Consider the following 27988-nt stretch of genomic DNA (forward strand, 5'->3'; position numbering starts at 1 on the left):
CATTTTGGGAAATAGTATTTTTAGGAAAATGGCCATTAGAGTGTAAGCAATGAAAGTCAAATTAATAAACTTTAATTGATAAAGAAAAATACTTACATAAATAGATCTTTTTTGTCAAGTTAGGTAGCAGTTAAAAAATGATATTTGCATTATGTTGGCTTTTTCTCTTTTTGAAAGGTCTTATCTAAATCAAATTAAAAGACCTTTCATGCCATATGAAATAAACACAAAATAATTGAACACTGAAGATAGAAAATGAAGTACTAAAAGTATGAATGAGTAACACAACACCATCATTGAAAATATGTAATGCTTTGTGGACATATATGACTTGGAACACTAGAGAAAATTTAATGTTACTTGTTTTACTAGAAGAGCATGGAACCACAAATAAGGCTCTCTTATTGCTATATATCAATTCAGAGGTCACATTGCACTTGCAGAAAGAGAAAGCATGTTTTCATAATTGTTCTTGTGTACTCTTTGCTGTCTGTTCTACAGTTTACTAACTCACATGGTAATGATTATTTTAAAACATTTTATCTTATTCTTTGTTAAAAGAAAGTTACATTACATTATTTGGACAAGGACAAAGACACTAATTTAAAAAAAAAAGTTATTTGAACTTTTAAACGAGATTACAACATTGTTCTTTTTAGAAAAGGAAAAAGGGTTGGCCGAGAACCCATAGTGGAAGAAGTGAGCTTGCAGCCCTGCCTAAAGTAGTCAGTTGCCTCTAACATGCCTACTTGACTTGCCTTCTCAGTTTCACATCTCATTTCTCTTGGTAATTTACAGACCTCTAATTCTTTCATAAAGGCAAAAGGAAAAAAAAGACAAGCAAATTACATTTGCCGATCATCTTGTGAATTAAGATAATCATATCCTTAATATTAGAAACTAATACTTTGACATCATGTCAAATAATTAATATTTAATAAATGCATATTGAATAAGTGTAGAAAGGTAAAGACCTCAGATTTCTTTCATCTGTAAAAATAATTTTTATTTTATTCCATTTTATTTCCTTCCAAATAAAGTAAAAGAAAGAAAGAATTCTAAAGATAATTTCTAAGTTGGATTTAGAGTATCATCTCCCGGCTTATTTTTCTTCCCTTCTTATGATCAACGTAAGGGATGGAGGACAGATGGAGAAGGCAGGTGGTGGAAAGTTAGTTAGAAAAACATATATATAACTATATCAAAAGTGAGATAATTCTGAAAAATTTTATAATTTATGTAGATAGCTTCCTCTTGTTAGATACTAAACAACAGGAATTCTGTCAATATGAACATTTACACATATCTTATTAGGAGGAGAGTATTCCTCTAACTTTTCGGGAAGAGTTATTTAGTTTAACAATGACTAAATTTATTTGGATTTTATGTCTTATTAAATTATTTATATTTATCATGCATGTATAAATATAAGTTCATTCAAACTATTTCAGAACATAACCAAATTTCAAATACATTGTGTTCACATGCACCTATTGAAGAAAGGTCTAAGGAGGTCTTCATAACTTTATAAATAAAGAAGAGATATTTGTCCTTGAATAAGTATATGAGAATTGAAGAAAAACTCAAATGGCAAATCTCTAAGAGGTGTACAACTATGGATGAGGCCCTCTAGAATGAATTCTGAAACTTTATAATCTCATATGAGATGCACAAAGTAAAACTCTGTCTAATAAATTTAATTTGCATAATGAGCTTATCAATTTTTTTTAATGAACTCAGAAATAGGACTTGGCCTGTTAACTCCTGAAATATTAAAACATGCAAGCAAAGGAATAGATAAAAAAATCAGTTCCCAATACACATCTGTGGAGATGACATTACTGGGAAATAGAAGTAAGATTTTTAAGGGCTCTGAGTAATTTTGTTATTAATGTTGTCATTTTCTGTTTGTTTTCGGAAGTGTTGTTCTCTAAACAGGGTAGCAAAATGAAAAACACAGGCTCACAGGTCAAAGACCTCTTTGGAATGCCTGTTCGATCACATTGAGTATTTAGACCTCATTCTTAAAATAAATATTATATTTTTATATCATTCTTTTGAGGAATAATCACATATATATGTGTGTGTATATACATGTGCATGTATGTGTGTATATATATATGTGCATACTATACTGTGTCTTGTGCATATTAGGCATTCAATAACTTCTTACTATTACAATGTTCACTCTCTCTTTCATTTGGAAAGCAGAATATAAGCTAATGATATTAGTGAACTACTTTTTCTAAGGTCTCTGATAACCAAATAATGATAAAGTCCTTGGTTCCATTATGGACACTTGTTACATCCTTAGATTTCCATCATTTTGAAAAGATAATTTTAGCTGGCAATAGTTCTTTGGGGTTTTCAAATACATTGCATTATTAGACTATATTGTTAAAATCTAACCTTTCAAGAGAGTTTAAGAAAAAGATATATTTCCTATCTGTTTAAGAATTTAGTTGAATTTCAGAAATACTAGGGAGAGGGAAAAAAGAGTAAAGAGAAATATTTATGAAATTAAATGCATTTTAATTTTTCAGATATTCATTTGACACTTTTGGAAATTTACTATTTACTAACTCCCGTTCCACCAAAAGGAATTTAGAAAGGGCTCTCCAATACCAAAGTAAAAGTAACTGGAAAATATTTATGAAAATAAAAATGAATAAATATATACCTTAATTATGTTAATTATGAAAAATGTATGCTACTGATGAAGAAAGAGATATTGGGGAGAACTGAAAGGCGTAAACCTAGCTAATGTGTTCACATGTTTAAAGGATCCTGGTACCTAGTAGGCTTTCAGCCAGTATACTTCAGCTCCCTTCCCCTTTAGGGAAATAGATTTAGGAAAAAAATGCTTCTATCTAAATAATCTATGACTACAGCTTTAATAACCTCTTCTGGTTTGCATTTGTTTTAGCATCTTAAAATAATTGGGGTAGTTGTGATTATATCAACTCATATATAAATATATTTCACTGTTAGTTTTATTTTTATGAATCAAATAAAATTTTCTAGTTAATAAATATACAAGGCTAGGCCTAACTTTAAATAATGATAAGAATATATTTTTCTAATTATGGGATACATTATACTGAGAAAAGTTAATCACAATTGAATCCAAGAAACATGTAGGAGATATTTTTATCTGATTAGAGACAACTATTCAGGTTTTACCTGCTTGTACCGATAAACCACTTTACTTTTAGAATAACTGGTCAGGAAAATTGTTTTAAGACTTAAAAAAAAAACAAATCAGGAGAGATATCAATAACATTCTTTTAAAAAATTATTAGGAAAAGACAATGAAGACTGTGAGTCAGAGAAAAGCTCTTCAAAGCGTATAAGATTTTTTTCCTATATTTTCCATTAATTGCAATTAGAGAAATTTTTTTAGAGAAATATTTTCTCCATTTCCCTATTTTTCATTTGGAAGTCAGCTTTCAAGGAAATAAAAAAGTTTCATAAGTAATTCCTCGTATTTTCAATCTAAAGATCAGCATGAGAAAAGGAAAGGAAACGTGACAGTGAAATTTATATCTTTTAGGACAAAACTCCAAGCTTGGCTGTTACTTATTTGCCTAATTTTCCTCAGTGGCTTAAATTAGGCTTAAATACTATGATGTTGATATTACTTTAAAGTCATGACCACAGTTATTTCCGGCCTATATTAAATTCTAATATGCCATTCAAAATAATCTCATCAAATTATTTAAGGGTCTTTTCTTCAGTACCTTTTCTACATTTTCCTATAAAACAGCTTGATATTTTCACTCTCTCTTTAGTTCAATGAAATCTCTATGGGAATGTACTTATCAGGTCTTCCTTTCTTGCTTTCTCTTTGTCTCTGTCTCTCTCTGTCTATCTCTCTGTCTCATTCTCTCTCTCTCTCTGAGTGTGTGTCACACACACAAACACACACACACACACACACACTTTACTGTATTGATAGCTAGGTATCCAGAATAAAAGAGTACTGAGGAATAGCATCAGTATGTATTTTTTATTGGTATTTCAACAAGGGTCATTTCTCTTTTTCTCCACCCCACCCCAGTGGCACAGAGAGAGAAAGACTTACATAAACACATGAGAAGCTTGGTCAGGAAATTAGACATCTTATCTCTGGGTCGGCTAAATAAGGACCAATAACCTAGGCCTGCAGCACTCCTCGTGATAACTGCCTTTACAAAATGAAATTTTGACTTCTTCACAGCTTAGCTACAAGAAGACACTATCAGTAGACCAGCATTTCTGTGCAATATGAGGGGTAGTAAAAGATTTTAACATCTGACAGGGGAAAATGAACAACTGATAAAAAGTCTTTGAAATGTTCTCTCAATGTGAGGCAATATTTTTTATGTTGATTTACATTTTTATTATTGTTTACTTTCTTGATAGACTGAAGGTATACTAAACATGAAATACATAAATCGAAGGAAAAATTCAAAAATCAATAGCAACAATAAAAGGACAAAAATATTTAAAAAATAGTTAATTGTCTTTAATATTAAATTATGCTCGTTAATTTAATTGCATATTTACTTTGTTAATGATTTGAAATCATTGAGAAATATTTATTACTTTAATAATATCTACATAAACCATTATGAAAAGTAAAAACATATTGATCATATTGAAGTTCTACTTCTAAAATTAAGCAAAACATCAACACCAGAACTTTTAGTTTTTAAGAGTAGACAATGTTTTGATGATGCCCAAAGTGAGCAATTGTAACTATGGGGAAGGAAAAGAAATGAAGAAACAGTATCTAGATTTTAAAATTAAATATAAAATATAATTTTAAATCTTTAATACTTACATTAAGAACTCTTCTGATGTGTGGAGAAAAAAATGAATAAGAGGTAAAATTTAAAACAATAATAACTAAATTCCATTGTCATACAATATCATAAAAATAATAAAGTTATAACTCATCTTTAGTGGTGCATGGATGATTGAACGAAAAACAAGTTGAAATTTATCACTAAATGTACCCATTCAAGTAAAACTGTGCACTTAATTTTGTCCTTGTTTATAAGAGCTAAATGAGTGTTCTATGCAAATAGTGCTGCTGAAATTTTAGAAGAATGTAATTTTATTTTCATATGAAAGAGGTGAGGAACAAGCTAAAAGCACGTGGAAAAAGATCTAGTGACTATCTGACTCTTTAACTCCCAGAATAATAACTTAACAAATCAGAGTTTTTCTATGTTTCATAAAACTATTTTAATAAATATTAAATGTTTTACATAATTTATTTAATTTTTAAGATAGAAAAATAATACTTAGAAAACCAAGCTTACCATTATCAGTATATTAACACTGTATTATACAATTTATAATGTATAATACTGATTAAGGTTTGGTATTAGAAAAACCTTAAAGAAGCATATTTATAGATGTTGCATTTTTAGATGTTATTAGACATACTAATCGGTGTATATCATGTGAATTTTCTTTACAAAATTTAAAATGTTCAACTGGCTTTTAGCATGTATAAGAATTTCCAAATAATGTATCATTAAGATTTTCATTTAAAATTTGGAATGTTATTGTTAACCAAGAACTCAAAAATAAAGAGTGATTGTGATTATCACAAATTTGGTCATGAAATAAGGAGACAGACTTAGCAAATCTCATATAAAAATAACATGGTAAATATTCCTTAATTAACAAATATGGTAAATTCCTTCAGCAGTTCAAAGGGTTAAAAAAGGTTTAAATAAAGTCAGGCGCATTTTTTTCCCCCCAAGACACTGCTTTGATGCTGAATTTATTTTCCATACAAATATTTATAGTGTCCTCTTGTATTACTTAGCTTGTTCGTGCGCATAGTTTATTTACCAATCTTGATTTTATATCTTTTTGATAATTTCCCAGAATACCTAGAACAAGCTCTATAACAACTGGAAATATTTGTATAAATATTTTGAAGATTCAATAAGCTATCTTATATGATTTTTTTTAAAAATGTTTTGAACAATAGTTTAACATTGTCTTCCAAGTTGACTAAATCAAAGTAAAAACATGCACTTAAGTACATAGAGTAGTTTATTTGGATAATAATGACTGAAAATTTCCCACCAAACTTGACGTAGAAATTGGTTAAACATAATAATTACGGTATTACTATCTTTAAATGATTAATTCTCATATTTGTTTTATTTGATAAAACTATTTACTTTTATTTCATTTTGATAGTAAATGATTAAGAGAAATGTATTGATTTGTTCCTCCTAAACTTTATTCTAGTCAAAAATTTAACAATACTGATCCAGCTAAATTTATCATCTCTTGAAATAAGAAATTAGAACAATTAAATCTAATTTAAATAACTGTATCTTATTGATAAATGTATTCAGAAACATCAAAATTCAAAACAACTAAAATTTACACTCAAAATAATTGCTTTCAAAAAGTTTTATCAGGAGAAATCTTTCTCAAGCGCAATTTTATCCCAAAGATCTAGGTAGAGATACTTTGGTTAAAGTGTTAGTCTATGGAATGCTGAAATCTCATATCTAGTGAAAGTTCTTGACACATCCTTGCTATTCAAACCCTAGGGCTAATAGTAAATACTTAGGAGATTACGGACCTGGAGGCAGTGTGCTCTAAGAGACAGAGCATAATAATGAGAAGAAACAGACTGTCTCAATAATAATTGCATTTTTTCCTTATGCCTTGATTGCATCTGTTGCCCAGTGGCTGCAAATCCAAGGATTCTACATTTATGGAAATTATGTGCCAAGTTTCATTCCTCAGATCAACTTCAATAAATATTATGACATGCATTCATTCAACAAAAACTTGGAGTGTTTATTCTGTGTGGGGCACTAAGCTGAATGGTGGGTTGAAGGTGGTTGACAAGGATAGACTTCACAAAGCATGCAAACCTCAATGTAGGAGACACTCTTGAGCTTTCTCTTTCTATCATCCTTTCCCCATTATCAAATTCCTCAAGAAATCCGCTCAACACCACTTCAATCAATCCATTTCTCTCCACTTTAATTGCCAACACCCTAGTCAAAGTCACCATCATTTCTCACCTAGAGGTCTTTAATAGCCTCTTAATTAGTTTATTATTTAATTATAGCTCCGCACACCATTATATATTTTCAATGCAAAAATCAATTAGAATCCTGTCATTCCTCTGGTTAAAATCCTCAAAAGATACTCATAAAATACAAACTTCTTACCAAAGAATGCAAACATCTCCAGGCTCTGATCACTTCCCTACCTCCCTGAATTCATCTTACCATGTGTCTGCTTTAATCTTTATGCTCTGGCCAAGAGGATTCATGCCAGTTTCATCCTGCTTGAGGGCTTTGAGCCTGCTGGTCTCTTTGCCTAAAATGTCTCCCCAGCTCCACTGCACCAGAACTTGCCATGACTGCCTTTGCGTTATCATTCAGCCGCAGTTCAAATGTTGCCCAGAGAAGCCTCTTGGTGCCATCCTATGTATGAAAGCCTACCCTAGCTACTATCACATTTCCCAGTCTCTTATCTGTCATACACAAAACACCAACTAATATAAGTTCATATGTTCGTTTCTGTGTTTATCATTTACTTGCTTATTGCTGATATCTTTGATAAGAATATAAATTTTATGAGAGCAGGGGATTTGTTGATCATCTTGCTTCCAGCAGCTAGAACAGTGCCTGGTCCTCAGACCTCAATGAATAATTGAAGGGAAAAAAGGCAGAAGTAGGGAAAAGCAAAGAAATTTCAGGAATGTCTATATGATAACAATGTTAGAGTTCCATAGAGAGAATAAATAAAGTCTTCAAAGGCTCCTTCATGATTAGTCATTTCTCAATCCCATCTTGAAAATATTGTAGTTTTTAGATTTATCACACTAAACTTCAATTTTGTCTCAAATTTGTCTTCTCCATTAAAAATTGTACTCCATGAGGTGCCTTGTTGTCTGTATTTCCAATTATCTAGTTGGAATTATCTAGCTTGATCCAGAATAGCTGCTCAATGAATATTTTCTGTTTACTAGACAAACATAAAAATGTAAAACTATATTTGTTGTATTTTTTCATAAGGTTCTTTCTACTGAAATCATAAATACATGAGCCATGTAGATATTTTCTCTATGAGTTTAAATATCACCCACAAAAATCCAACTCATTTTATGCATCAGATATGCTAGCTTCTGAATTTTCGATGAACCCTTTTCTACTTCTCTAGACCAGCAAACACAATCACTCATAAACTGCATCTCACATTACACTATTGTTTTTGACCTTTAAAACTCAATGCCCCACACTAGGCCACTGCTCTTTTAAGTATTCCACATTGATTATTTCTCAAGGCTAGAAAATGGAACCGATTCAAATAATACTAAGGTTAAAAATCTAATTACTTCAATCATAGAATGAAATGTTCAGTGCCATCTTCAATTTCGTCATTTGATTACAGAGGTGATACATGAGTATTACAAAGAAGATACATTAGGGTAGATAATCCCAACTAGTGGTTCTATAATGGGAGTGTTTCTGATGTTTTGTTTTCCTCAAAAAAAAAAAACACAATTACTTCATCAAAATGATTTTATTGTAGTGTTTGGAGAAGCAAGCGTGGCAAAAGAAACCTTGGAAGGTCTTCCTTACCTATATAAGAATTCTGAGCAAGGAAAAGGAATATGCAGAACACAGGCAAGGGAATGTGAACTTCGAAGGGAAACACTGACATTCCATTTACACGGTCACAAAATGGATCTTCACATTTTAATAAAATCAACAGTATAAAATATTTAGACCTTCACATGAATTCTCCAGGGGAGCACTGAACAACAAACTACCAGAGTTTCTGGATATTTTTAGGAAATGCAAACAGCATAGTACATTTAGTTTAAAAATAAAAACATACTCAGTTTAAAAATGACTGCAGTTTCAAATGCTGGCACCTATCTTACCTACGGAGCTCTAGATTTTATTTAAAACAAAAATAAACACAAGATTCAGGGTCAGGTTAAAACATGTATTTGTTGCATTTCAATTTCGTTTCATATTTCTTGTCCTTTTAAAAAGAGGAAATAACATTGTCAACATGGTAATTTCAGAGTTTATTTTAGGCAGTTATTGGATATTTATGTTTATCACATAAAAGTCATCTTTCATTCCTCGATGTTGCACAGTTCCTTATATTTTATTTTTTTAATCTTTTGAATGAGATTTAAATGTTTAATGTCTAAATATTCAAAATGCAAATGTATAACAGCTGAAATTGTTATGGTTCTGCCATATACACACAGCTCTATTTGTTAAGAGGCAAGAAATAGTGAAAATCATTTTCTCATTCACTGTTGTATAAAAACACTCTCACACCGGGTCTAGCTGTTACTATTTTTTGTCAACTCCTGTTTTGCTTCTGTCTCTTGAACTTGCATGTTCTATGGCCCGTAGTGATATTCATTGATGGGTGCTCTTGATATTCAGAAAAATGCTTTTCTTTGCCTCTTAACCATAAAGTTCAGCAATGACAACCAAAGATTAGGTTGTGTGCACCCTTTCAGTTGTGGACTACAGAAAATCTTTCCTTCGAAAGACTTTCTAGAAACCTGTCAGAATTAACTATAAAATTAACTGTTTGATTATCAACCATGAGCCTATAATACCAGTGGTTAACAGAAGCCCACAATCTGCAATATATCCATAAACTCTCTGAAAATGTTACTGATAGGAACTATAATCAATATAAAAACTTGCAGTAAAAAAGGAATCAATGTGCACAAATTCCCCGAGGATTTCTGCTTTCCTAAATAAAGTTTGTATTTCTGGCTAATTCTCTTAAGATGCTATTTTACACATATTTTATTTTTTAGTGAATTAAATTTGGGTAAAATAGAGAAAGTAAATTACACCAAGCTTTATTTATTTCCTGTCATTTCAACTCAATCAGCACTAAAACTTTTATGAAAGTACTATGGTTGATCAATGTATTTGTAAGAGAAAATATCAAAAAAGATGGAACTGGAAAAGGAAGGGCAATACAAAGAATGCGGTCATGAAAGAACTGGTTGTATTTTAAAGAGTATCTTGTATTTTTTACTTTGTTTTAAAATAACATTCAAAATAAAGATGATTTAAAAGATCATATTCTTAATTGCATCAAAAATATGGTAAATTTTATTTCAGTATCAATAAAATGATCTATCATTGGCATGAGATAAACTTTATGAATTTAGGCTTCCATGTCATTTATTCTATATTGTATATCATATTTATTTATAATATAAATTCACTAGATAATATAATTGGAAAATGTTTCCAATTAGATTCAGTATTATGGCCCTAAAATGGATGCATTTCTGTTAATATAAAAGTATACCTGGTACATTTTATCATGCATTAGAGATTTTAATCAGGTAATCTACACAGCATCTGGAAACCTAAGCAGAGGCAAAGTCTGCTATAACAAAGGCACTGTAACAGTTCACCTTCAGTGAAGAACAATAATGCATTATTAAATTCACTTTCCTGCTCAGTGGTTACACTTAGCTGACCACAGCAAATTTGCTCTCTGCCTGGTCCTCACAAGTTGGCAGAAAAATAGATTCTGTCACATTTAACGGGTTTAGAAAATGACAGGATGCCTCTTTTGTTTTAACTATAAACCATAATCTTTCAGAAGTAAATATAATTACAAATGCCTTTGGTCATGTCATTCTTAGGATGGATATTATATGTGGGTTATCACAGAATCATATATCACCATAACTATCATTAATAAATGAAACTGATACTACATATCAAAAAATCCAGATTTTTTATGGAGCTTTCATTCCATATGACATCATAATTCTTACAATGGAGTAAAGATCATTTTGAAACCTTATAGAGCTCTGAACATTACAGCAACCTGTAGGTTTTTGTTTTATCTTAATTTATGTAACTCTCATGACTTAGGGTATTTAGTCTATGACAAAAATATCACATTGAACAAACTCAACTTCAACTTCTATAATATTGCCTAAATTAAAATGGAAAGAAATTTTAAAGTCACTGATTAAATGATCACCAACATAAAAATATATGATTGTTTATCTATTAACCCATAAACCCTTTCCTTAACACATATACTTGTCCTATTAATATGCCTATTATAAAGGAAATGCTATGTTTTTTATTTTATGTATTGTTAAATTTAGATTATCATGTTACATAGCACTTTTTCTCAAGTAGGAGAGAAATAAATATTATGTAATAATGAATTACGTTACCATCCTAGAAATATTTTCATAAGTAATAAGTGCAAATTATGATGCTATTCCTTATGGATAATGAAGTTCATATGTAATTTTATTTTTTAAAAAACCTGATTCTTTATGGTTCTATAGAAATTTTACTTCAGAATACTTTACAACTAGGTGCAAGAGATTTACTAACCAACACCAAAGAAATATTGCTTCCTTGACAATGAGTATCAGTTACTCAAAGAAGTATTTTTATAGTTTCCTGAAATGTCTTTTGTAAGGGCTTTTAAACTTTATTGTATGTTTGAGCTTATTTCACATAATGATCATGATTATAAAACAAACTGGCATAGTTTGCCTTAATATTTAATTATGCAAATAAACTATGAAACACCTTCAATAAAAGTATCAATTATAAAAACATCAATTAAAGAAATAAATTCATTGCTTGACTCTAAGATCTGAATAAAACTTTTTCTTTACAAGAAGCACACTGGACTTGCGATTTGTATACATATCTTATTCTATAGGTTACATTTTCCATATATAAGTTCATTTATATGGCATTTTACATTTTTATTGATAATATCACATGAATCATTTGTTGTCAGAAAAGAGAAGTCTGCCATAATCAAATGAAAACACTGACATTTTTACATGGTGTTAAGGGTTAAATTCTTGTTATTAAAGAAAAAGAATACCCTGTGAAATTTGCTTTGCAATTTATTTCAATTATATTAATTTTAAGGGTTCTAAAAATGAGTTGCAGTAGAATTCTATGGAGCTTTTTAAACATTTAACATCCTTTAGCTTGCTGTCCTTTTTAAAAAATTATTGACATTTGTGGAAAAGTCACTGATATTTGCCCAGTTTTTTTTTTTTTTTTTTTTTTTCATCTTCACAAATTTCAGGCCGGGTACGATGGCTCACTCCTGTAATCCCAGCACTTTGAGAAGCCAAGACAGGCAGATCACCTGAGGTCAGGAGTTCGAGACCAGCCTGACCAACATGGTGAAACTCCTTCACTATTAAAAATACTAAAAAATTAGCTGGGCATGGCAGTGGGCACCTGTAATCCCAGCTACTTAGTAGGCTGAGGGAGGAGAATCTCTTGAACCCAGGAGGTGGAGGTTGCAGTGAGCTGAGATTGCGCCATTGCACTCCAGCCTGGGAAACGAGCGAAACTCCGTCTCAAATAAATAAATAAATACATACATAGATACATACATACATACTTGAAAAATAAAATAAAAAACAAAGTTCAAAGTTGTACATCAGGTATAAAAAGTACATTGTGGTTCAGATAAACTTATTACATCACAATATGAAAATATAACTTATTCCTTAATCATCTGAGTTATTATCATACAGGCTGTTTCTTCATTTCATGGTAAAAACTTTAAATTATTAGCTATAAAGAATTGATAGAGAAAAATACATGTGTCGATAGCTGACTTTTAAATATCAATAATGTCATTATCATTATTCTAAATTTCTATTTTAAAATTTTTCCACAATAAATAAATCTCTCTCCTCTTTGGCTTGTCTAAAACAATGAGAAAAGTCTGTTTAATCTTAAACCACTGCCATGATTTCCAGAACACTGAAAATACATGAGTGTTTCATATATGAATTTTATTGGAAGCCAAATTTTCCTGCAAAGAAAATATATAAACTCTAATCTAAAGTCTAACTTCAAAGTTTCTCACTGTACCATCCACATGTTATAGAGAAAATAAGAACTTATAAGCCAGTCTACCTCTATATAAGGAAGCTGAGAACTTTGGCTATTTGATGCCAAAAGTAATATTCAATTTAAACAATAAGTGAGCATTTTCAGGAGATTAAAAGCTCAGCTATTTTACTATCAGAAATTATTCCAAGTCTATGAAAGCTCTTAGTCTAACAAAGATCACAGCAAAATAAAATACATTCATGAAAGGAAAGATTGAAGATCCTTGAGGAACTGAAATTAATGGCATAAAAGAGATTTTCCAATATTATTGGCATAGACTTCTCTCTCCTTTCACCCACTGCCTAAGTTTGAAAACTGGATTTAAGTCAGGAAACAACAAGGTCTGTGTTTATGGTATGTGAAGAATTTAGGTTGTATGTTTATTGGGATCTGAAGGACTTAGGTTCACTACAAGAAATGCAAAAGCAACAAAAGGAAAATGTAATTGCATCACTTTTGGTCTCAGTAATGTCTGGAGGATACACTGGAATCAGCACACATCCCACATTGGAGTCTTTTATGCATATTTAATCCAGTGTTTTTCGTAAAATCAAGTTGAATCCTAGTAAGGATGATATGAACTGAAAAATCAAGATATTTAGATGATTAAAACAAATAATAAACTCTACAAGAACAAATGAATACATTTCAATTCAGAGGAAAAAACATCAAAAAACTCTTGATTCGCATAATGTTTCTATTACTATGATTAAAGAGAGACATTGTTAAAATTCTGATTTATTTCTCAGTAGACAATGAGAACTAACATGCTTGATCAGATACCATGGGCCAAGTACTTTTCTAAGAGATGCATAGGGAATCTAACTGAAATCTTGTGAGGTAAGTAGATATATTGCTTAAACTCCCCATCTGCCTTGATTTGGATATTTTTCTAGATATAAGGGGGACAATACTGATATGGAGAATGTAGCACCATTCATCTCCAAAAAATTCCCCTTGATTACAATACTTAATTTATGACATAGGTCATGCGTAGTCTCTGTCCCATCTGTAAATAATAGCGAAACTAAGAAAGGCACTTGATCCTTAGCCGTAGATTTAAATAGACTACTTCTGCTAAGATTCCCCAAGAAGAACCACACCTTCTCTCCTAGTACGAGAGTGATTTACCACATATCTTTCTCTAGAATTGTCCCACCTTACCACTAAAGCACACAACTATAGCAAAACTCAGAAAGGCATTTTATCCTCAGCCATAGGTTTAAATAGGCTATTTCCACTAAGATTTCCCAAGAAGAACCACACCTTCTCTCTTAATACGATAGTGATTTACCACATATCTTTCTCTAGAATCATCCCACCTTACCACTAAAGCACTCAACTGCCTATGACAATTCTCAAACAAGCCATAGGTGTAGAAAGAACTATATCTATTGGGTAGGTGTGGCAGAGAGAGAATGGAAATCTTCCTGCGTATTCCTTATTGCCAGTAAAATGTAAAAGAAAAACAAAGCCATGAGACACATGACTACTTTGAATAGAGGTTATAGTTTAGATAAACTCCTATATATGGGTTTAGTCTTCATTATCATTGATTTTATTCAAAAACTTCTCAGTATGGTTTGAAAATACAACAATGTCCTACGTCCTTTTGTTTAACATTCATCTCTAACTTTTTAGCAACAAGCACAGTGGTGCTTACCACATAGCAGGTAATAACAAATTTCTGAATGAATAAATTAATAGAGAAAATTGCTCACTTAAAAAAATAATGCTGTTAAGAAATCATTTACTGTGATTTTACTTAAATGTATGAGATTATGACTGCAAAACTTCCCTATGTCCTTTCACAAATGTTTCCTGGAATTGTATTGTTCTAAATGCTATCACTTATATTAAATGATAATTGAACAGATAAATCATTCTCTTTTATGCAACACACTGCAGTATGATAGTCTTTGTGACAGACACTGAAGATCCAGTTGTAAATAATATAGACCCCACCACATATTCATGGAACTTGCAACCTGGTGAATTACAAATCTTATCAGGGCCCTCCAGATTCACTGTCCACCCTCTCTGCCTTCCTCTCTGATCTGTGTGACTTTAGGATGAATCCAAGTCCTATGGATAGATTACTTAATTAAACAACCCAGCAAGCAGATCAGATGGAGCACCAGAATGTGACAGCCTGGCTTCTACTAAGCCCTAGATTACTGCATCATCCTCTGTACCTACACCTTGAATTATCTTACTTCTATGAGCTGTCTGTTTTCTGATAGGACCCTGAGTGATATGGCACAACACGTATACAGTGCTCCATACAGATGGAACAGTTTTGCTAATTTTTATAAAAACAAACTTGCTTTTTTCAAGTACTACAAACTGAATTTTTACCGATGAAGAAACTGAAGGTCACGGACATTCGCTAATTTCCCAAGTTCGAAATTTTAACCAGGACTTAAATAGAGAAGTCTAATCCCGAGGATATTTTCTTACCCTCATGCTAGAGTGCTTCCAGTGATAGTCATCTCTTAGACGAATATAAAACTATTTTGTGAATTCAAGATTTTTCCATAATAGATTACTTGTGTTATTATGGAATGGATAATAAATAATAACAATCATGATAAATAATAAGGTCAATATATAGCAAATTGAAGAAAGTATAAAAGCATTATATACTTATTTTCATGCTTCATTAGTAACCTCAAAGTATCTCATAGTTATCACGATTTTTAAATAAAGATAGAAAGAAAGAAGAAAAGAAGAAAGGAAGGAAGAAGGGAGGGAAGGAGGGAGGGAGAGAGGGAGGAAAGGAAGGAAGGAAGGGAGGGAGGAAGGAAGGAAAGGAAGGGATGAACCTGTGAAACATTCAACTAATTAATGATTGTCTCATCTTCTGAAAGTATTTTTTATTGAAAAATTTTTAACAAAATATAGTCCACAAAATAATTCATTTGTGCTGTCTTTTAAATGAAGAACCATAAAGACAAATGTAATCACAAGTTTGAAATATATAGCCATCATGATTTTTTAAAAGTATCCTAACATAACTTTAACATATTCACAAATGAAGACTAAACAACTTGTTCCCTTCATTAACATAAGGGAAGATAATTATCTATTAAATTTTCTACATCCAAGAAGCTGTGATTTGAAATCAAGGCAGAGAGGCATGCAGTAATTCCAAACTTAGAAGAAGAGCACAGAATGGCAAAGCCTTCATAAATATCCATCAATTTTGGCCACTTATACAGATATCTGAGTAGAAGGGGAATTCCCTTTAGGTAGTGATCCAGTGAAGGCTGATACATTTTTATGTAGAAAATTACATTTTACTTAAAGTAATTTGGCTCCATATGTCAAACAGATCAGCTTTCTAAAGTTTATATTGCTTGCAATAAAATTTTTTTAAATCATCCTATCAACTGTTTCCTCAGATCACAGCTTCGTAAAAGCACACAGGATTGTCAGACTGATTTACCTTCACAAAAGTATAATTCTCAAGCACTTGTGCACCAGATTACATTTTTCAAAAGAGGGATATATAAAGAAGAAAATTAATTTATGGCTTTTTTAAAGTAAATTTTTTAACTTGTATCTTAAAGATTTACATTGGATATAATAAATTTCTAATAATGTATTTAATAAATGGCTCCTCCTGAAATATACCAATAAAATAATACTTAGTTATTACTATTTTGATATGAAATTATAGAACATTAAAACATAAGGGTACTTTACTTGCTTGGAGTAGAAGCAAAAGCAGTTGTTTTTAAGAATTTAGAAACATATTGAGCATTCATTCTTAAAGTTTAATCACCACTTAGGTAGAGCTATATGCAATTACTTTTAAAAAGCATTTCTATACACAATATATTGCTTATAATTAATTCAATGAACTATCAAGGCTATAAAGATTAAATAAGAAGGAAAAAATATCATTAAAAACCTCAGCTATGGTCTAAAAGTTAACTAAGCAAAGTGATCTAGAGAACAATCCTAATTAAAATGTCTGATATAAACAAAGCTTAGACCAAAAGCACTAAAAACAATTGAATACTTATTTTATTAATCTAATGAATCATGTATCATATCATTACAACTTTGTATATATCATTAATTTCATTCCTTTCACTTAAGCCTTTTATTGGGATTACTTCAGTTATTAGTTGGTCTAATGTATTGGTTACCTCTAAATCTCGCTCTACAATCTCTTCTTATCTTGTTGCATAAACCCTTGCGTGTTATTCAAATTGCTTCATTTATTATGATAGCTTCCCCATGTAAATTGTGCTGACTGCTCGCCCTTGCACAGTCCTCATTAGACTAATGAAAACCTTCAAACGAAAAAACTAAACAACCTGCCAAATAAAGGTCTGAGGTTATTATGAAAATTACAACTCTGGGAGCTGGAAGAAGCTCTGTTCATTAATTCATGCTCAGCAAATTGCTAACTAATTTAGTTGCACTCCTCTGCATTAATGGATTATTTTATAAAAATGTTTTCCACAGCCCAAGACCTTTGGTGCATGCTTTTGAGAGGCTTGAATTCTAATCAACCTTAACAGTAAATTAGGAATGTAATATCTAAATAATAATTGGGATGGCATATGGAGGAAAATGGTGTTTAAAATCCCATGAAAGGTGCTTTTGGTTTTCAGCTTCATCTGTCAATTTCACAGTAGTTAAAACAATTGTACTTGTTTAATATTCTGAAACTGTAGCATAAGATACTAGCAACAATAGTAATGTAAAATTTTAAAGAAAATCTAAAATGCAGCTTCTACTGGGACAAAACTGTTATACACAGAAGTTATCACATACCTCTCTAGGAATAATTTGTCAAAAGGACAAGATTAAGTGGTAGTAAGCAAGGAAAAGTCAAAGAAAAACACTACCCAGTTTTCTATAGCAGGTGGGCAATATCTCCTTTAAAATACCTTCAAAATATCATCAGGTTACTATGCATTTAAACATAATAACCACTAGTTCCATATTAACTTTTGATCTATTTCATATAAACTTCAAATTAGTTCTAGTGTCTTTGGGATTTACCTAAGCTTGGCTATTATTTACAAGCCCTGCAAACAAGGCTGACTGAATGTGTTAAATCATCCTACCAATTTGATGGAAGAATTCAAACTGCTCCAAGCACAAGAAACAACAGGGGTGTTACTCTGCTTCTTAACCTATAATACAGCATTTAATGCAAGATCACTCCATCATCTACCAAGAGAAGTTAAAGCATTTGTGTGTATGCAGGGGTATACGTGTGCACACGTGAGGTTATAAAAAATTTTAATAAAAGTAGACTGTGAGTGTTAGGCAAAATTGAAAATATGTTTTTAAGTGGCAACACTTTCTCTTTTTAAAAATTTAGATACTTGGAAGATATTTTGAACAAACAAGAAATTTATTTGTATTTAGTGATGATTAGCCATAAGATAAAAAACTTTGTTTGTAGAAAAGTCATTATTATGTCAAATTATTATATGTCCATGTGGCAGTTTATATCTCAGGTTAGAAACTTCAAAACTATTAGGTCAAAATATATGCAGTTTCAGATATTCTATTCCTTTATTCCATAAAAACATCATCATACAGAGTAATCTGATATCTGTGGAAACTCAGAATTTGAATTTTGTTATTCTTTCATATTAAAAAATAAGAAAGCTGTTAGAATCACTGAACTTTTAACAGTCATTTTTGTACATTTCTAAATAAGTCTAACCAAGGAAGGAAAACAAGTGTTTTATAGTTCTTTGAGGAAAAAAACATAGCTGTCCATTTACAAAATTAAAATGTGCAAAATAAAAACATCTTCAGCTCCACTAAACAATGTTGGATTGTTAATTACTATTCTCAAAATTAACTTTCAGGCACTGTGTGGTGCTCACGCCTGTAATCTCAGCACTTTGGGATGCTGAGGTGGGTGGATTGCCTGAGCCCAGGAGTTCGAGACCAGCCTAGCCTACATGGTAAAACCTCATCTCCACTAAAAATACAAAAAGTAGCCGGTGTGGTGGCGTGTGCTTGAAGTCCCAGCTATTCGGGAGGCTGAGACCCAAGGATCACTTGAACCCAGGAGGTGGAGGTTGAAGTGAACCATGTTTTGTGCCACTGCACTCCAGCCTGGGCAACAGAGCAAGACTCTGTCACCAAAAAGAAAAAAGAAAGAAAGAAAAAGAAAAAGTTTCAATTTGGGGTAAATTCTCACTCAAATAGACATAGTAAAAAATACACATAACCTTCCTCTGTAGATCACTTCCATACTAGACTATGCAAACTATCAACTGGAAACTAGCAAAACTGAAAGAAATCTACTAGCAATATGCTAGTAAATTGCAGGAAAAAAAAACTAGAGATAACCAATTCATTAAGCCAAATAATAAGTTATCCAATCACATCTTAGATGAAAGCAATAAAATAAGGGAATTTATGATGATTGATAAATCATTAAATGAAGCAAATTTCAATGTGAAACTGATAAGTGAGTCTACTAGTAATTTGTTCTCTACCTCACGTTTAATGCTTTAAAAATATTATCTATTTGCACAACTATATAAAAACAATCTCTTAAACAGTGAGGAAGTGAGTCATTCTACACCTACCGTATTAAGAAAATAAAGCAGATTAAGTGGAATAATAGTTTTTTTAAATGCGGAAAAGGCATCTCATCTGATCACAAGTAAAACTACTATAATGTATAAATTTATAGCATTTATAAGACTGCTCTTGTCTCTTTGACATATAGTGCATGAAAATTATCAGTAGATATTAACGTGATTCAGTTTTCCAAATATACAAAAAAGTTGCTAAAATCTAAACATAGAAAAGATGTACTGGAGATATAATTGAGAAACCACTGAGGTTGTCAACACCAATAAATGACTCTATTTTTAAATATAATATTCATATTGCTTGTATGATAAATTCCTGGGAAATGTAACCTTTATGTAAAACTGTAGTAATTTACTTTACAAGTGGCATGTGTGAGTAGTTCAAAGACAGAATTCCTACCCATCAGAGGGAATCTTGTTTGATTTCTAACCCACTCTCTTGTAGCCTATTCACATCTAATACCCACTATCACCTGTGATTTACACAGCCACACACATGTTTCTCCTCAAAATATTTATTGAATGAATTCTAGGTTCATTGAAATTGTATTAAATAAATAAAGATTATTTTTAATACAATCATTGACATATAAAATAGCTGATTAATGTAGTTAATTTAGCAATTTTTTCCTCCAAAACTGTACACATTACATTTTAGCTATATGTAATCAAAGTGCTGTCTACAATATTATAATTTCAAATTTCCTATTGGGGTCAAATGTAAATCATGATAACTGTGGTATTATGAATTGTAAATAGATAATATTCTAATTCAGAGGTTTAAAGCATGTATATTTTCCAATTTATATAATCAAACCACTTGCTCATTAGCTAACTTGATAGTAGTAATGGTTTCCATTGGATATTTATATGCATCAAGCACTCCAGACATATATTATCTCACTTAACTCTGAAAAGAACTTTATTGTACCCACTAATGCCAGACCCTGTGCTAAGTATACAAAGAAGGTGAGAAGACATAGCTCCTGCCCTGAAGAAGTTTGGGCTGAACACTAGTGGATAGGAAGGCATACATATCCCATGTAAGGAAAGAAACAGAAATCATGTAGGAAAGGACAGAGGATGTTTGAGAAACTTGAAAGTTCAGTGTGACGTGATGGTCATCAAGGCGCATGGGTAAAAAGTAAATAAATATTATAGTCTATATTTTATACCAATTGCCCATCATTTACAGGGCTGTTATGAATATCTTACAGTAAGTATTTTCCTCAATTGTCATTGAAATATTATTACAAGCTCTGCTCCTAGAAATAATTCATAAAATAACAAAACCAGTGTCTTAAGCAAGCTGAGCTACGGCTTTGCATATGAAATCTGCTATCTACTTAAGAAAGAGCTCTGGGATCCAAAGAAAGTTGTTGTTGTCCAGTGTTATAATCACAGAACTAAAAGTGATGGCACTAAGTTCAACACTTATTTTCGAGGCATGGAAACTGAGGAGGAAAATTACATAGGTAGGTAATAGAATATTTTACAGGAGACTTTGAGATATGCCAACAAAAGATATATTTAGATGGTATAAGTAAAGGAGAAGTTGCGTGTTAGAGAATTTTACAAGTGAAAATACTCATGGCCCTATAATATGTGTTAACATTATCAAAATATAGAAAATTTTAAAGAAAAAAGGCTTTTAGTCTATGCAATTCTATATAGACACAGGAGATACTAACAGGCTCCCATATAGTTGTTGTATGTAATATTTAGTATTGATTAATTTGAATAAGATCTATTTAGAATTTAAAAGAAAAAAGCCATTTGTTTACTTATAATTTAATTTTTTATTGATACATAATAGATGTATATATTTTGGGAGTACATGCGATAGTTTAAGACATTTACATAATTTTTAAAGACCAAATCAGTAGAATTGGGATATCCATCACCCTAAATATTTGTCTTTTCTTTATGCTAGAAATATTTGAAATTATCCTCTTCTAGGTATTTTGAAATATACAATAGATTGCTGTAAACTATAGTCACCCTATTGATTTATTGAACATTAGGTCTTATTTCATCTATCTAACTGTGTATTTGGACCCATTAATCCTCTCTCCTCCCCACTGTTCTAAACAGCCTCTGGAAACCAGCAATCTAACTACCTTCATGAGATACGCTTTTGTAGTTCCCATGTATGTGAGAACATGTACTTATTGTCTTTCTGTACTTGGCTTATCTCACGTAACACAATGACCTGTAGTTCCATTCATGTTGCTGCATTTTTGAAGACTCAATCTTGATTTAAGTTAGGATTTTTAAACAATGAGAACTGCACAAATAAAAATATATTTCAAAAATTATTTCCAAAAACTTGAATAAAGTGATACATAATGATTTTCTTTCAAAAGGGCTTTGTATGAAAATGGTCCATAAGATTGGATGCTAAGACTAAAATATAAAGAAGAGACAAAAAGCCAAATATGGCCAGTTTGCTAACTACATTATTGTCTTTAGTGCTGTGTCCTTCACTTTAGATTACCAGTATGAAAAGTTTTTATACAAAGATGTTAAGCATTGGAGATGTTGAGCATTGGAAATCTTGAGCATTCCCCACCAAGCAGAATATGACACAAAAGAAGGGCTTTATGGCCTGAAGCAAATCCCCTGGATTTCCTGCCTCCCTCAGATTAGTCCTGCCTCTGAAATGTTGGTCTCCTGAAGTTGTCACCAGTGAAAGAAAGTTTTCTTATTTCTTATGAAAACAAATGAAGAGAAAAGCCTTATCTGTAGGAGAAATGACATATCAAGAAAAAAATCTGTATAATTTTAACGAGGAAAGGGAGAGACAGAGAAAGAGAGCGATTGATTTGCATTTCATTTCTTTTCATTCACATATCTAGCTTTCAGTAAATATTTACTCATTGATTACATCACATTGGACTACTTAATCCAAGACCAAAATACAATAATACAAATTAGGTATGCAACAGTTAGTCACAACTATAAATGCTTAAGTTTTCTATAATTGGAAGAAGTTAATATTATAGGCTTATCTCCATCATATATATAATTTTTGATCAATCAAAAATTAGGTAAATCGTATAATAACAAAAATGTACATATTGAGTTACAGGCAAGGTAAGAAGTGTGCTCCAAAATTTGTTGAAAGTAGCAGCAATTTAAGAAAAACCAAAACAAATTATGCATGAGAGAGCAACACTGTAAACTAGCGTCAGTGGACAAATGTGTGGAGGATAAACAGAGAGCTCTAGCATCAAGAAACAGTGAGCCTATTTATATACCACAAATGTCAATTATTACAGCCTATTCCACTATATTTAGAATGAGGGAAAAGATCAGCAATGTTTTAAAACACAGAAAGCTCTTGAGGACTCCGGATGTTTGGAAAAGCTGAAAGACAGTTTTCATGCATATATATATATATATATGGATGTGAATATATATATATATATATATATATATATATATATATATATATATATATATAGAGAGAGAGAGAGAGAGAGAGAGAGAGAGAGAGAGAGAAAGAGACAGAACTAATAGACCAGGTGTGGTAGCTCACGCCCTGTAATCTCAGCACTTTGGGAAGCCAAGGCAGGTGGATCACCTGAGATCAGGAGTTCGAGACCAGCCTGGCCAACATCGTGAAACCCTGTCTCTACTAAAAATACAAAAATTAGCCAGGCGTGGTGGTGGGTGCTGTAATCCCATATATATATGTGGGATTAGACATATATCCATATATGTATATTAGACATATATCCATATATGTATATTAGACATATATCCATATATGTATATTAGACATATATCCATATATGTATATTAGACATATATCCATATATGTATATTAGACATATATCCATATATGTATATTAGACATATATCCATATATGTATATTAGACATATATCCATATATGTATATTAGACATATATCCATATATGTATATTAGACATATATCCATATATGTATATTAGACATATATCCATATATGTATATTAGACATATATCCATATATGTATATTAGACATATATCCATATATGTATATTAGACATATATCCATATATGTATATTAGACATATATCCATATATATATACATATATACATATATGGGATATATATATACATATATATATATACATATATATGGATGTGAACTGACATAGATTCAAGCCTAAAACTTTTGTTTTATATATATATATAACATTTTGTTTTTGCATTTTGTATTTTTATATTTTTGTATTTTATATTGTTATATATATAACATTTGTTTTTGTATTTTATATATATAGTATATATATATATATATGCATATATATATGCCTTAATTATACTCTCCCTAAGCTCAAAACCTTATGTGAGCATACTTTATTTTTAAAATGGAATGAATTTACTCAATAGTTAAAACCTCTGGTCCTTCAACTAATGGTGACTTAATTTTTTGGGCTAATAGAATGGAGCCCATAGCTATTTAATATTAAGAAGAACATAAAATGTTTAAGTTACTGATGCTTAAGATTTCAGACCACAGTGATTCTCAGAATACAAATAAATTTTGGCATCTATTTTTGGAATCAGTGTTTTCTAAAGAATTAATTGTCCTTTGAATAATTTAGTTGGCAGGCAGCAAATTACATATAGGTTCAAGCCTAAAATGTAACGAACATACAATTAATTTCTCCACAAATATCTATCTCTAAATGAAGTTATCTGTTTGATAGAGATATGAGTTGTAGGAAAGTTACAGGGATATTATGAGGCCCATGAAAATTTTGTCATGAAAGAAAACAATTTTTAATTTCGTAGTTTCTATCAATTTAGAAAGCCTATGAATATTTACTATTAATTCACTATATTAAAAACTAGATAAAAGAAGGTACACACAAGAGAAAAGCATCACATAACAAAACGCTTACTAGAATAGTATCAAAATCTATTAAAATTTTGAGATTACATATACACATTTGAAATCAATGATACTTTCACATTTCTAGGGAGAATCTTAAAAATTTATTTGTCATTATAAAATATATGTCAAAATATTGGGAAACTGTCGGGCTATGGTCAAGGACTTTGTTCTTACAGCAAAACAATTTATAAAACCTTGATGTAAGTACCATTAGTGATATAGTAAGTTTTTATGTATATTCGTGGTCAGAATGTTCTAATGTGTTTCATATAAATGTGCTTTATGAAGGTCAGAAAATTCCACCTTTGGCCTTGCTATTAATCCTTAAAGCATGTGATCTCCACAGTTGTTTTAACTCTTGTCTATCTCTTAGAAACTTCCAGTAATTCAGCCCAGATCAGTATGCACTCAAAGACTGCCTTGTCTGTTTAAAGCAAATGTAGTACATTCTAGTAGTGGAAGGATAGCAATGAAGAAATAACTTCCAAATAACAAAGCAAATACTTTAAAACATGCCTAGATCATCAACCTAGTATATTATTTCAACAAATGCTCCACAGTGGCAAAATTATAATAATAATAAATAAGTAGAGAGATTGAAATCTTGACATATGAAAAAGGAATAGTTATGAAAAATATAGGTCAATTCAAAGGATAACATTGCACAAAGCTCTCCACCAAAAATTCTAGTGAGATTTGTTATTCCAATTCTAGTACTGGTCATTCCTTTTGTATTTTTCTCTTCACTACCACCTCTGGACTTGTATATTTCTCTTAGCCCTTCTCCACCATGGTGCTGCAAGAGAATTTAGCTCTAATATCCTGACATTCATTGTATAACATAAATTAACTTCCTTCTTATGCATCCCAAGTTAAACTTGGTAAATAGTATGTAAGGGAAAATTGAGAAAAGAGTGACTCAAATAATTTTCTGTAGGGCTTTACCCTTTAGCTCAACCCTAGTGGAGAATGATTGTGACACCCATACATTTAATTATTATATTTAAATATCATTACTTAAAACTTGAGTCTTCGATGAAACTTTATGTTTTACCAGTATACTAATTTTTCTTATCTTTTCTTTTTTTTTTTGACATGGACTCTCACTCTGTCACCCGGGCTGCAGTGCAGTGGCGCGATCTCGGCTTACTGCAACCTCTGCCTCCAGGGTTCAAGCAATTCTTCTGCCTCAGCCTCCCGAGTAGTTGGGACTACAGGTGCGCACCATCACGCCCATCTAATTTTTGTATTTTTAGTAGAGACGGAGTTTCACCATATTGGTCAGGCTGGTCTCGACTCCTGACCTCGTGATCTGCCTGCCTCAGCCTCCCAAAGTGCTGGGATTACAGGTGTGAGCCAGTACACCCAGCCCCACTATACTAATTTTTACAATATTGCTATGCATGGATTTTTTATTAAATATCAAAAGTATAGGTCAAAATAAATATGATGGATAATATACATGACATTCTGCTTTATTGTTAATGAAGAGGTTGTGAAAAAAATGTAAGTTAAAAATTTAGAGACCATCTGACCTAGTCGTGCACTGCATTCGAATGCCTAATATAAATAGCACTTGATATCAAGTTTCACAATAAATAATGTAAAAATTTTATTAATGTCTCTATTTCTCAATTATGCCTAGATGTTAACATGTTAGTACCTAGATTATTGTTTTCTCTCTGACATTCCATAGCTCAAATAATCTAATTTGTAGAAATATACTCCTTCTCTCTAAGGGATTTAGCAGAGCTATTTTTATGCTGAAAGGGAAATGTTTTATGTAAGCATTTTTACTTTTTTGTGAGTAGTCTTTTTGGTGGGAAGAAGGTACCCCTCCTTAACTTAATCTCCCTCCACGCATTTATTCCTGTTCAATTATTTAAATACCCAATTTTGTTTCCTTTCCTTGTTGACAGCTGATTAATTGTGCCCCTTTTATGTTTTCCAAAGAAATACCCTTATTCACAACACTGATTATTTGATGGCTTTGTCAAAAAAAGATAAGCAAATTATCCTATCTATATTTATAAAGTTTGAAAATATTAAGTTAAAATAAAAAATAGGTGGGAAGATTCTTATATCCACAATTTAACACTTACAATTTGAAAATACGTATTTGCATCTCCAAGAATAAATTTCTAATATGCTGACTAAAATATTTTAATTTTTTCATGGAATTATCAAATAAGGCATGAAAATACACATTTTTGCCTGTGAAAAATGGGTTTGATTGACATTAACAAAATATAAGAAACTTTTTTAGCTATGTAGAACCTGAGGTTTCTTGGTATATCTTGAAACAACTAGTAGTACATTGACATATAAAATATATTTCTGTTTCCTTATTGGTCTGTAAACTGTTTTTTTAATTCAAAAGAAGACAGAATAATCCTTTCTATATTGTTATTGTTCTATCATGCTAAGTAAAATGACAGTGACCCTGAAGGTATTGAAAAAGTCAAATAGCAGACCCTTTAGGAACTGAGAGATAACAATTGGGACTTTTTTTTTTAATGTACTGGTAACTAAATTGTAACTTACCTGTTGTGTAAGAGAAGTGCAGCAGGTCTTCATTCTTATCTCTTTTTTGTTGAATGAATAGGTTTAATTTGTACTTAATATTGTGGATTTTAAAAACATTTATATGCTTTTTTTTTACATGATGTAGAGATAGACTTCATTGTGTGATTAAAATCTAGTTCTAAAATCTATTGAATCGGGAAAAACAAGGAATATATAATCATACATTACCTTTTTCAATATGCATCCTTTTTGACTCATGTCCCATGTCATGACCGGCCAAATCTCCCTCTTTGGGCCCAGGAAGTACATTTGGTGATAAGCCCATCAGCATCTGGTTCATGGACAACCCATTCTGATGGACCGCTATTATGGCCCAAAAGAAAACAAACAAAACAAAACACAAAAACACCATAACACACAAGGTTCCAATAAGTCAATTAAACTCTCTTGGACTCAACAGTAACTATAATATTAATATAATGGTCTACCTTTAAATTTATAATCTATCCCTAAAAACACTGTGATAACTGATAAACATGATAATTTGTCAGAATATGCAGAAAATATTGAAAATGACATCACCTCACTTTATTTTTATTTTGCATAAAACAAGATTTTTATCTGGAAAATGTAAATTTTTAAAATATAAGAATAATATAGTAGAAATTGCTATTTGGCAAACACCATTAATAATAATTGTTTCAGGATCAAGGGATAATTCTAAAACTAGTGAATGGAAGTTTGCTAAGAACAGAATATTTGCATAGTCTTAAGATATTTTTCTCACCAGGCACTCACTATCTACAAAGGTAAACATCAACAACAAGTAATATTGCAATAGAGAAACCTAGTAGTCACCACCTTAAGAAAGTGATAAACTTATTGCTGGTACTGTAGAAATGTGTGTTTCCTGAAATGATTCACTAAGAAGGACACACTATCACAGCTGTGTGATTCCCACCAAACATCCATAACCTAAGACTAATCAAAAGGAAACATAAAAAAATCCAAACTGAGGGACATTCTACAAAATAAATGGCCT

The 27988-nt window shown here is 31.2% G+C and overlaps 1 protein-coding gene across 6 annotated transcripts in view; it reads right to left on the minus strand.

Annotated features, from left to right (window-relative positions):
• Positions 1–27988, minus strand: part of DACH1 (dachshund family transcription factor 1) — a 429239-nt gene that overhangs the window by 91884 nt on the left and 309367 nt on the right. For 3 of the 6 annotated variants that reach the window (NM_080759.6, NM_001366712.1, XM_017020396.2), the window contains one exon: positions 27175–27309. The exons of 2 other annotated variants lie outside the window; for them this stretch is intronic. In NM_080759.6, coding sequence (NP_542937.3) covers positions 27175–27309 — 135 coding nt within the window. Of the gene's footprint in view, positions 1–8543; positions 13523–27174; positions 27310–27988 lie in introns of those variants that run through there. One more of the 6 variants, XM_011534940.3, reaches the window with a different exon arrangement.

The sequence above is a fragment of the Homo sapiens genome, chromosome 13 (assembly GCF_000001405.40).
Source record: "Homo sapiens chromosome 13, GRCh38.p14 Primary Assembly".
In the NCBI taxonomy this organism is placed as follows: domain Eukaryota; kingdom Metazoa; phylum Chordata; class Mammalia; order Primates; family Hominidae; genus Homo; species Homo sapiens.